The following is a 13,281-nucleotide window of genomic DNA, read 5'->3' on the forward strand; positions in this document are numbered from 1 at the left end:
AGTATTCTTCAATACTGTGGTCATTAATAGAATTAAGAATAGATCAGTGGAATTTATCCCTTATGACCTCAGAATGCCTGGTTACCCTTATATCCCAATTTAGGTTTGCAAAAATTACTTAGCATTTTATCAGTATGAAATTGTAGTTGTGGCCAGTACAACAGGTATGACCTCTGCCTTCAAAAATGTACATCTCAATAAGGAGGATAACAGATATCAATAATTGTAGCACAAAACAAAATGGAAGATGAATGGATTATGCCTTTCTAAGCAGAATTTTATTCTAGTTTCTTCCCATTTAATGTAGGAATTATACTTTTTCTAGATTAAGTAATATGTGAAAGTCCATGCTCTGAGCATTGCTCAAGAAATGGTTTTCAATCTTTATATTTTTTAAATTATTGAATTTCCAATTATGTGACAGTACTTTTATCGAAAACTAGTTGATTTCATTTTCCAGATAAGTTTTTCAACTCATACAAATTTTTAAACTCATACATTCATCCCTCTTTTTCAACATTCTTTATCTTCTAAATTAAAAACATGTACATCTCTCAATCATTGTATTGCTTTCATGAGTTAGTTTTGATAATTCTCTGCAAGAAATTCTAGTCCCCCTGCTTCTGCAAGTCAAGCTGTTCTTCATTTATAATTTTATTCTTCTCCATGTGTTTCTTAAAAATTTCAATGTCATTTTATTGGGAACTGAAGTAATCTTCTATGACAATTATTTTTAATTTAAATCATAACAGTATTTTTACAATTTATTCAGAGTTTCACCACAAGTGGCTCTATCTTTGACAACGGTTATTTCTCAAAATTTATCTTAGTTTACTATCTTTGTATCTATTGACTATAAAAGCATTATCCAAACACAGTGAACCTATCCTTTTGTCTGGAACACTTTCATTTATAAACCTTTAATACTGCTTAATACTTTATAATATTTCCTACAAAAGACAAATGTGGAAGCATAATCTTATTGTTAAATTATCTTTAAATAATTACTTTTTGGAGGGGGAGAGTCATTTTTCATCTTCTTTGCAAACTTTAATATTATAATTTATTGGCCGGGCGCTGTGGCTCACACCTGTAATCCCAGCACTTTGGGAGGCCAAGGCGGGCAGATCACAAGATCAGGAGTTTGAGACCAGCCTGCCCAATGTGGCGAAACCCTGTCTTTACTAAAACTACAAAAATTAGCCGGCGTGGTGGCGGGCACCTGTAATCCCAGCTACTTGGGAGGCTGAGTCAGGAGACTCTCTTGAACCCAGGAGGCAGAGGTTGCACTGAGCCGAGATCATGCCATTGCACTGCAGCCTGGGTGACAAGAGCAAGACTCTGTCTCAAAAAAAAAAAGAAAGAAAGAAAATATTGTAATTTATTTCTACTTTTGTTTGTTTTTAGTCTTTTTTTCTGTTCATCTCATATATGAATTTAAAAAAAATTTAGTCAAAAAAGTAAATATCACATGTGGCTGATTCTTCTCTGGATCAAGTGGTTGCATGCGTCACCTAGCATATCTCTAGGATTATGCAAAAAGACAATAAGCTTGCCTTTATTATAGATTTCAACCTGCATCATGCAAATTTATTATAACCATTTACTGTTATTAACATATGTTGTCAAATGGAATATTCTGACCTGTATGTTTGGTATCTTAAATTATTTCTAGTTTTTTGTTAGCTGGGTGTTATCTAAAAAACTCAGCTTAGTAATTAAAATTGTGAAGAATGAAAGAGGATCTGTTTAATAATGAAAATACTGGAGAGTAAAGTTTAGTTTTTTAAAGTTAGACTAATTTTAGAAATAGGAAATTTAGTCTACCAGTGAAAAAAGAATAATCTCAGATTGTTTAGGAAGTAAAAAACTACTTAGTTTTTCTGCTTTGAATATTTAAAATAATCTCTAGAATCAAGAGAAAAAACAGTTAATTGAATTGTTTGTCGTAATTTAACATTGTGTGAGATGAAGGGTAAGGAAACTGTGAAAGATAGTAATGTTAATATCTTAGGTCACAAATCCCATTTAATAGCTAATTTAAATGAATGCTATAGAACCACTGCATCAAAAAAAGGCTTAAGTATGCACAAATATTCACAAAACTTTACATACAATTTTAGGTGATTCATAGCCCTTGTAAACTCTTAGACATCAGGATAAGAACTGCTGGTTGAAAACATTATTAGTATTACAATTGTTTGAATTCATCTTGATTTAGGCCGACACTTGTGCTTCTTCTCTATTTTTTTTTCGTGTATCTTCTGATTTCTTGTTAAGAAATATTCCATTTTTCAAACATTTATTTAACTAATTTTTATCAAGTGCTGAAAACTGTTGGTTCTCCTCTGAGTAAACACTGCATTTCAGGTTCAGCCACAGAGTATCAGACCAGTGTCTTTAGGCTGATACCAATGACAGTCACTGAGGCTTAATTCTTCCCTTTTACATAATGATTGCAATCAAATGGGGAATTTAAATTTAACATTTAGGTTGGGTATTTTACTTGTTTATTTTCTATACAGCAATTACCTTGAATAATGGCCTGTAAAGAATAAAATTGACCTAACTTTTATGAACTATACACATCATTACAAAAACTAAGGAAGTAGTAAAGAACAAGATCTGGTGGAGATAGGGTAGGAGCTAGATAGAAAAAAAGTATGTGTTTACTGCAAAGACCTTTCACTTCTTCCTTTTACTTGGCAAATGATTATAACTAAATTCAGTTGATAGAGTAGAATAAACACATCTATTTTGTGTTAATGTTGAAAGGGAGCTTAGAATAAGAATAGAAGATGAAATTGAACTCAAATTAATGAAATGCACAACGGGAAAGAAAAATACAGTTTTAAGAGAGGGATATAACTTAATTCTACTCCCTCAAAATCCCTTATTAGTAATTTAGTTATGTTTAAATTTACAGTTTTCCTGAGACAAAGAATCCTTTATGTGCCTTGCCTCAATAATAAACAAACTGGCCAGGTGCAATAGCTCACACTTATGATCCCGGCATTTGGGAAGGGCTGAGGTGGGGGGATTGCTTGAGCTCAGGAGTTTGAGACCAGCCTGAGTAACATAGTGAGACCCTGTCTCTAGAAAAAATAAATTTAAAAAATTAGCTGGGCACAGTGGTGCATGCCCTTATCCCAGCTACTTAGGAGGCTGAGGTGAGAGGATCACTTGAGCCCTGGAGATCAAGGTTGCAGTGAGCCATGATCATGCTGCTGCACTCTAGCCTGGGCAACAGAGTGAGACCTTTTCTCAAAAGACAACAACAGCAACAATAATAAACAAATTGACAAGTCTTAATTATTTTTGGAAGCCCAAAAGTCTAGGTCCAGATCAAGATATAAAGAGAGATATTGGTCTTCTCAGTAAATGGACAGTAGCAGTGGCAGTGACTAAGGTAGTGACATTTTGAGGTGCTGTGGGGCAGTGGAGCCTACAGTGGTGTTCAGAAATGACAACCTAAGTAAGAAATGATGTATCTTTGGTCAGAAAAAGAGAAGAACAGAGGTTGATATCAATTCAAAGCAATTACTGCACTGAAATAAATATATTTTTAGTATACTTTACATCACTTTTTAACATTTTACAATTTGAAATTTGTATTTTGCTAACAAAATTATATTTGATTTATCAAATTTGAATTTATTATTCAGAAAATATTTATACATATTTAATTTATTCTTAAATGCTTCTCATTTTAAATGAAGTTTAAAGTTTATTGGATTTCTGGGAATTTAGTATCTGTTGTTTTTTGTTATTTTTTGAAACAGTTTGAGATTATGGGAAATTAAAACATTCTCGTGAAGCAAACTTGAAACTTTATTCCAGGTATTTAAGGCATAGCTGAAATTATATCTACCATATTTCACATCAAATTTAGTAAGAAGTATCATTAATACTAAAACTCTCTCCTGCACTTGAAAGTTGATCCTGGGACATGATGCCCAGTGCTAACCAGTGGATTAACAGAAACTGAGTAATTCTTGCTTTCATCCTACCTAGAGCATAGTATCCAGTGTTAACTATTGGACCTCCATGTTGGTTCTCAAGGTGCAGTTCATCCATCCTTAGTCATGCCTTCATTCTGCTGATGGAGATCTTGCACTCAGGTTCCAGAGCCCAAATCTCCTTTCTCCCAGCAGGTCCCACATTTAAAAGCTAAGTGTGCATATTGATCTTTCAGTTTCTTCTCTAGTAGCCTGTAAGATGTTCTGGCCTTAAATATTTGAGGTTTTAAAAATTCTATATTCCAATAAATTTGGAAAGTTGATCCAATTGTTAGGACACTCAGTAACTTAATTTGGACTTAATGGTTTAAGGGTTGCCTATTTATGTTCTAGGCTGCGTGTTAGGAATATATATTAAAATATAGTTAATTGTTCCCCTCTATGTTTCCATGTGTTCTCATCATTTATTTCCCACTTATGAGTGAGAACGTTTGGTATTTGCTTTTCTGTTCTTGCATTACTTTGCCAAGGATAATGACCTCCAGCTCCATCCATATCCCTGCAAAGGATATGATCTCATTATTTTTTATGGTTGCGTAGTATTCCATGGTATATGTAATCTGTACAGTAAACCCTCATGACAAAAGTTTACCTATGTAACAAACCTGCACATGCATCCCGACCTTAAAAGTTTATATATGTATGTGTATGTATATATATATATGTAGTTAAGTACATAATTGTATGTGTGTATATGAATGTACATGTATATGTGTATATATGTATTTGTTTATGTGTGTGAATTACATAAAACAACCCTATGAAATAGATATTGTTCCCCATTTTATAGATGAAGAAATTGAGTCTTAGAGCAGGTAAATAAATTGCTCATGGCCACAGGGATAGACATTCTGAGAACCAGAATTCAAACCCTAGTTCTTCCTCGTTCATTCATTGAGTACCTTCTATGTGCTGTACATTATTCTAGGTTCTGAGGATACAGCAGTGAATAAAAATTCTTGTCTTCTTGGATCTTGCTTACTATACCAGATGGTGATAAGTGCTTTAAAAAATTAATAAAGACTCAGAGGGTGATGAGAGTTCAGTGGGATTGCAATTTTTAACAAGACTGTCAGAGAAGTTTTCACCGAAATGGTAACATTTGAGCAAACACCTGAAAGAAGAGTGAGCCATGAAAATTCATGAGGGAAGGTGGTCTCAGACAGAGGTAAAAACAAGTGCAAAGGCCTGAGTAAGCTCATTCCATGTGGCATCCAATAGAATTCTAACTGGGAGTTGCTGAACCCCCTTCAATCCATATTGAACATTTGTTGTCTGCATACACTATAAATAGTAAAACACTAAGTCTCATAGACAATCGTAAGTTATAACAAAGTAGCTTTATTCAAGTTTAGTTTTTAACTTATACATGGTAGGTACCCCTGAATTGTTTATTTTTTATTTAGCAAATCAATTTCTAAATTTCTATTTCTTTGCATATTTTTGTTTTCCCTCAAATTAAACTGTGAAGAGTCTGTTAGAGTTAAAATACTGTGGTTACATTTTTCTATTTTTACATTTAATTTCATTTTTATAAGTAATGTAGTTAAGTGTGAAACTGCTTTAGGAATGGTTAAATGCACTTTATACATTCAATGTGATGTTAATATTGGTACAAGAAGGACATGCATGTCAATATCTTGTTAATTTTATTCCTTCTAAGAGCATGGTTTGCATGTTTATATAACATTTTTTCACTTCATATGCAACTATAAAGTGAGCTGAAATAGCTTAGGCAAAATGTTTTCTAGCACATAATTGGATGATATAAATTAATTTCTTTTGAAAGCGATAGTATATATTCTATTTTCTTCCCTTGGTACAGTATAGGATTATGAACAGACTCAAAACATTCGGAAAACTTAACTCATCCCATCTTTAATTTTCAAAGTTCAATAAGACAGACTTTAGCTTTCGGTTAAGCTGTATTAAACAATTACCAAAGATTTAAGTCAAAAGTCAACTGCTGTGGAAGGCAAAGCCTTAAAATGTTTAAGTTTGCATTGAATAAAAGTAAATTTCCATTTTAGAAAACATGTTCAATTCAACTCAACCTATTGAGCATTGTCTATCAGAGTTTTATTGATAAGGGAGAAAAATCAACTATGAAGCTATGGCAGTAGTACTGGAGAGCATTAACAAGGTTTGAAATACAGTAGTGATGTGGGAGGGGGTTTTCAAATGAAGGACATTTTTACATCAGAGTTGATGGGTGGCTTAGCATGTGGATTGATGGCACAAGAAGCATTTCAGGTAATGTAAAGGCTTTTAGCTTTGCCAGTGGGTGAGTGATAAGGCTATTAAACAAGTTAGAAAATAGAACAAGGGAAAGGTTTTGGGAGCATGAAAATGTTCAGTTGAGTTTTGAACCTTTTGAATTGAAGACATCTGTAGGACATTTATGCAGGAATGAATACAAAATACTTCTGTGTCATTGTGAAGATTATAATTAAGAGGACACTGTTGATTTCTTCTTGAAACTCTGGGCCATGAGACAGATCTAGGCTGTGTGATAATGATGTTAGTGACCTTTTCCCAACCCTGTAACAACAAAATCTCAAATTTAGTACATAATTGCGTTTTACTTTATGTCACATTCTAAATGTTTTAAATCACCTTTTTCTCATCCTGAGATTATAAACATTCCCTGGGCTATTGAAGTCCTTGTAGTGGCCTCAGTGATTGCTATTACCATGGAGCCTTAGGAGAATTTATTTTCCTTTTATAGTTGATGATGCTACAAACTGTACTGAGGGATTGCTGTCATTCATGCAATTCATTCATGCCTTGTGCAAAGTATTGTTGCTTTACAACTGGGCATAAAGCATAGGTTTACTTTGTTTCAGCAAATAGATATCATAATAAGATTTTACAAAGATATTTCTTTTTCAGAGACATTAATTATTTTATATGTAAAATGACTTTTTAATTTCTTAAAACTTTTTTTTTGACTCAGGGTCTTGCTCTGTTGCCCAGGCTGGAGTGCAGTGTCATGATGAGGGTTCACTACAGCTTCGACTTTGCAGGCTCAAGCAATCCTAAGCTCCTCAAGTAGCTGGGACTACAGGTATATGCCACTGTACCCAGCTAATTTTTTAAAATTTTAGTAGAAATGAGGTCTTGCTATGTTGCCCAGGCTGATCTCAAACTCCTGAGCTCAGGCAATCCTCATGTCTCAGCCTTCCAAAGTGCTGGGATTACAGGTATGAGCCACTATGCCCAGCTAATTTCTTGAAACCTTAAAATTACTTTTTGTGGAGAGGGAGGTGTAGAGGGGAGTGAAGAAAGTGAAATAATTAATAAAATATAGTATCTTAGGATATCACTGTATATTGATCTCTGCCAGAGGGAATACTTGCCAGACTTGATTCTGAGAGTCAGGTCTCCCTAATGCTTTTCTTTCTTTTTGAGACGGAGTCTTGGTCTGTCACCCAGGCTGGAGTGCAGTGGCGCGTTCTCGGCTCACTGCAACCTCTGCCTCCTGGGTTCAAGTGATTCTCCTGTCTCAGCCTCCCAAGTAGCTGGGACAATGCTTTTCTTTACTGCTGTCCTGCTTGATTTTCTTTGTTTGTCCACTGTACTTAACAACTGTGGCATGCTAATGGAATGTGGGAATTAAGACCAAGGTCTTAATTCATACTACCTTGGATTCATCCACCTAGTGTCTGTACAAACTTTGATACATTACAGCCTTCCTACGTCTCAGTTGTTTCCTCTGTAAATGAGGATAAGAGCATTATGTCTACTTATAAAACTGTCACATGAAAGGTAAAGTGCTTAGCACAGTGCCTGGCACATAGTATACATACAGTAAATGTTAGAATAATAGGGATGAATTATTGTAAGACCTAACAGTACTCTGTTTTCCTTAAAGTGCTGTATAACATTCAAGTAGGATGACAGACATTTATTTTTATTTACTAATTATAAATATTATACATTCAGTGATTGTTTTACTTTATTTTTATTTTTAAAATATTATATGTTTTTCTGCCTTGAGATTTTTATAATCCAAGGTGTATATATATGACTCTTCTATCTTTGTCCTTGTACACTGGTCCCTTGTATACAAACAAACAATTGAAAAAAATAAACTGAGATATATCCTGGTCTCATATTTGTAGAAAATAATCTCTCCTGCCTCTTTCCTTCCCTTCTTCCCTTATGACCAATTAGCCTATCTTTTAAGAACCCATCTTATAACTTGTCTTATCAGAAACCTCTGTGGACTAGTGGTATGGGGTACATAAAAAGTAAGAGTAAGTAAAGATGATAAGTAAAGCATGTATAAAGCAGAACAGGGACTTCCAGTAGAGGGAGATGTAGGCCAAACAATCAAGCCATATAATATGCAGGTGCGATAGGCAGCAAATTTAAAGTTTTCCCTTCATAAAAAATCTAAGTACTAATTAATTTACTAAATATAAGTTAAGTAACACTGGAATTTCTGTTTTGCTGGTTGCCAAATCCAAAGCGATTATACAAGTACCTAGGGAAGAACTGTGAGGAATATATGTATGTATTGCTATTGTCCCATAACTTTCTCACATAACTGTTTCAGAGATGGAATGAAGACTAGATCATAAACAGCTCTCTCTCTCTCTCTCTCTCTGTCTTCCTCCCTCCCTCCCCCCTCCCTCTCTCTGAATCTTTAAAAATAGCAAGTAATGGAAGTTACAGGCTGGATAACTTGAAAACAAATAAAGTACAGCAGCTATATTTCCATAATTCAAAAATATTTTTTCATGGAGTTCTAGACTATCTGAGTAAAACTAGGGTTAGACCAAAATACCATAAACTGTTAGACTGAATTAGAAAACTACCCTTTTTTAAAAAAAAATATTGTTGTAAAGATAATATTGTAACTCAGATCTTTAAATTTCTGAAATTGCTGAGACCTGTACTTAAAGGAAATTAACAGCATTTAATTCATGTTGGATTGGATTTTTTTCAAGTTTTTTCTGTAGGATAGTTAAGTTGATTTTAACGTTTACATTTCCAACAGAAATATCACAATTCTTTCTTTTGGCAACATTGTCCAATAGCTAACTATTATAATGGTCCCTTTGCACTTGGAGATTTAATACTCTTATTCTATCACACTCTACAAAATTGCTGCCTTGGAGCTTGGGGATGTTGAGACTCCCCTTAAACCTGAGAATTTCACTTAATAGTTGACTGAGTTTTCCAGTTTGTATCATGGCTAAATATTTTGATGTGGATTTTATTACTTTTGGCTGAGTTAGTAAATTCAGTTTATAAAATATCCATAGAAATTTACATCATTCACAACATATATCTTAAATTAATTTACTCTAGTAATTTTAATTTATGTTTAGTTGATTCAGAAATGGAAGGTATATATATCTGCTGATTTTATTCATATTAATGAATTTGGTAAACATTACCACCACCAGCTTAATAGATATTAGCTTAAATATGTAGTTTTTATTTAGAATTCTACAAACCCTCATCACTTATCTTACTTATCTTGCTTTAAGTTTTGTCAGGTAACATCACTATTTTTTGTGTTTAAGAATTTTTTTTAATTTAATAAGTAACTACAGAAGATTAGCTATGCTGGAGAAGACTTCATAGCCTATAGTATGGATTTTTTTGGTAGAACTAAACTTCTTCCCTAGATTGCAGCATGGTTTCATGAGGTGAACGTTTTGCATACTTCATTTAAGCCTTTAAGATGTGTGTTTTTTTGAATTATTCAAAATTAATTTTCAATGAATGGGCCTGATTGGACTTTCCCGTCTATTGAGCTCCTTTGAACCACTACAGACAAATTGGAAGGCTTTCTTTTAACTCTTTTAAATAAATTAACTTGCCTTAAAAATGGCCATAGAACAATGAGATTGAACTAATCTGTCAGTGTGCCTATGTGCATCCATCATAATAAGCAGGGGTGTGCTGCAGTAATAAACTTAAAACTCACTTACTGAAAGGAATGAAATTTAATTTTAATATATGCTTTGTGTTCATTGTAGTTTGATAGTAATGCTGTCCTTGCTGTAGTCACTAAAGGATTCAGGCTGAGGAATGTTCCGTCTTGACACATGCTTTGATTACAGAGCTGAGACAAAAAAGAGTACTGAATCTTCTGACACTCTTAAAACTTCTTCCTGAAAATGGTATGGTTCACCTTGGCAAGATACAGCCACACCTGAGTTCAACAAGGTTCATGATCCTCCTACAGAGAAGGGCACTAGATATTTGCAAATAGCACAACAGTTTATCATTCTAGTCTAAATTAGTGAGTATTTGGAAACTGCTGACATTTACACACTAAGCTTATAGAAAGTCTGGTTTAAAACTGGCCATGGGAAGAAAATGAGTTGTTTTCACCAGGTTATAACCTGATTCGTTTTGGAACTCATATTGACAGTGCATTGAGCACGTGCACCCCGCCCCCCTGCCACAAGTCTGCATCATCCAAATGATGCAGGAACTGTTTTGCAGGGACATTTATATACCACTGGGGATATTACCATTGTTCCTCATGCACTGTGGACAAGGAGTAACAGTGTTGCCCGGGCTGACTACCTTTAAATGCACAGTTATAGGCCAGCCAGGACAGTTCGTAAATTTAATAAATACATCACTATTCAGATTTTAACCAACCTACCTTCCTTCCTTCCTCCCTCCCTCCCTCCCTCCCTCCCTCTCTCTCTCCCTTCCTCCCTCCCTCCTTTCCTTCCTCCCTCCCTTCCTTCCTCCCTTTTCTCTCTCTCTGTCTCTGTCTCTTTCTTTCCATAAAAAAGGCCTGATTGTAATTTGGAGTTTCAATTTTTAATTGCATAAAATATTAAGAGAAAACTGGGTGTTCCATATAGCTAATCGTTTAAATAGTAAATATAAATGGAGCCATTAGATATATTGCCAAAATTCACAACAAAATGAAAATATTGGCATTTGTTATACAAATTAAGTGTTCATTTGTTGTTTATTAATATCACACTAATTAACCATTAATTATTGCTGAAGACTTTTTCTGTCTTCACTTTTTTAGGTATGACTGATTTTCCCAAAATATTTTGTGAAACTTCTCAGAAGTTGGTGAGTGTGGAAGCCTTTGCTCTGGCTGCGAAATACTATTCTGTACAAAACTTGGGAATATGTACTCCTTTTGAACAGTTGCTTGTAGCCCTTCGAGGAAATCAAAACCAGAGAATTGGTATGTCTATTTATGTGTGTGTATGTGTGCTTTTTAGGTACTTAGAAGCAATACTTTGTTCATATATGTGTATCTTTCCAAAATATTATTAATTTATTGTTAGACCTTAATATATAAGCCCTGACAAATTAACTATTGTTTAGAAGTGTAGGTTTTCCCCTTGTACTATATTAAACAGAACAACTTGTAGATGTCCACATTTTTTTCTTGTAACTTCTTGTAACTCTTGTAACTTCTACTGCAGATAGTTCCTGCCCCTCAAACACAGATCACAGTGAGCTACTACAAATTCCAAAATCTACATTATTTTTGTTGCAGCAGGCTAATGTTCTCTATGGGAAGAGGGTGGGAAGAGTGGAAGGGGACATTTGGGGATGTGGGGAGAAGCATGAGTGTCAGAAAGTGGGGATGGTACAAATTAAAAAAACAAATATGATAATGTGGTAGATTAAAACTCAGCCATATCTATAATAATATTCAATGTAAATTGTTTCTACATGCCAATTAAAAGGCAGAGATCAGAAGGCTGTGGTTAAAAAAAAAAACTCAGATTCTTTTATCTTACACAAACCTCTTTCATATCTCTTATTTGATCCTTATTTTTCCCCACCTTTTTATTTTGAAAATTTCCAAACCTACAGAAAAGTTACAAGAATAGTACAATAGACCCTGTATACTTTTCACCTAGATTCACCATGTGTTCACATTTTGCCACATTTGTTGTAGTTCTCTTCTACACACACACGCGCACACACACACACACACTCTTTTTCTGAATCTTTTGAACATAAGTTATAGATATTTTAGCATTTTACTCTCAAATACTTCACTCTGTATCTCAAAATAACAAGGGCATTTTCCTACACATCTCATAGTTTATTGGCACACTCAGGAGTTTAACTCTGATACAGTAATATTGTGTAATAAGCAGTCTCTATTCAAGTTTCTTTACTTTTTCCAAGAATATCTTTTAGAGCCATTTTTTTTTCTTCATGCAGGAATTAGTCTAGGCTCATACCTGGCATTTAGTTGTCATGTCTATTTAGTCTTTTCAATCTTAAATCGTTTCTTACCCTTGCTTTTGTTTTTCCTGACAGTGATACTTTTGATATCTATAGGCAGGTTTATTTTATTGTTTCCCCAACATTAGATTCAGGTTATGCATTTTTGATAGGAGTACTACTCAAGTGATTCCTTTTTCACATATCAAATTAGGAAGCACATAGAATTTTGTCACATTATTGGTGACCCTAAGTTTACTCACTTGGTAAAGGTGGGTCTACTGGAGTTCTCCATTGTAAAAGGACCCTTTTATCTTTGAGTCCAATTCTTTTATTATTATTTTAATTTTTTAAATCTCTCTAACCATTTTAAGCAAAATTATTTCATAGTGTTCCCCCTGGAGCAAGAGAGGGGCTGTTTGGTGAATTATGGCTCTTGGTAAGAACCATTATAGCTGCAAATGGGTTCACTAGCAACGTTACTATGGGGGCTGTAGTCGACTGGCAATGAAAGGTCTAAGGAGAACACTCTATCCCAGGTGCTGCTGACTGGCAATAAATGAGTGTACCTCTGCATCAAGGGTATAAATCCTTGGCCCCTCCCCCAATGTATAAAGTTTAAGGGCCACAGTTTGGGCATCAAAGTGAGTAAAGATGTTATATCCTAGGCAAGAACAAACAGCAAAACCACCATTCAAGGTCTGGATGGACTCTGTTGTGTCCAGTACAAGAAAGAGTTGACTTAGCCATGTAGAGAGATGCATGCTGGTGATAAGTGAGAGTGGAGGGGCTATATTCCCCATCCTGGAGTAATCAGCATATTTGTTTACTAGGTTAGTATCTGCCAACAGAATGACATTGTGGAATTCAGACCTCTCTGATGGAGACCATGTCCTAAAGTGCCCTCAGAATGTTACCAAGAAGGTGCTACCTTCCATCTACAGGACCATGAGTAACCAGCACTTAACACCTGGAAAGACCTCATTAAAACCCAGTATCCCAATGTGGTAATCCCAGGTTAAGCCTATACCAAGGCATTCACAGATATGAACACTGTCGTGCCATAATAACCATTCCA

General features: G+C 34.6%; 1 protein-coding gene across 20 annotated transcripts in view; it reads left to right on the top strand.

The window, feature by feature from the left end:
* The window catches only part of METTL25 (methyltransferase like 25), a 120,711-nt gene that overhangs the window by 17,237 nt on the left and 90,193 nt on the right, over positions 1 to 13,281 (top strand). For 17 of the 20 annotated variants that reach the window (NR_144943.2, NR_144942.2, NR_144941.2 and 14 more), the window contains one exon: positions 11,038 to 11,202. The exons of the other annotated variants lie outside the window; for them this stretch is intronic. Coding sequence is in view for 9 of the 17 variants with exons in the window: in NM_001347934.2 (NP_001334863.1) it covers positions 11,038 to 11,202 (165 nt within the window). In the remaining 8 variants the exon portion in view is untranslated. The remainder of the gene's footprint in view (positions 1 to 11,037; positions 11,203 to 13,281) is intronic. 20 annotated transcript variants of the gene reach the window in all.

The sequence above is a fragment of the Homo sapiens genome, chromosome 12 (genome assembly GCF_000001405.40).
Source record: "Homo sapiens chromosome 12, GRCh38.p14 Primary Assembly".
NCBI classification, from domain to species: domain Eukaryota; kingdom Metazoa; phylum Chordata; class Mammalia; order Primates; family Hominidae; genus Homo; species Homo sapiens.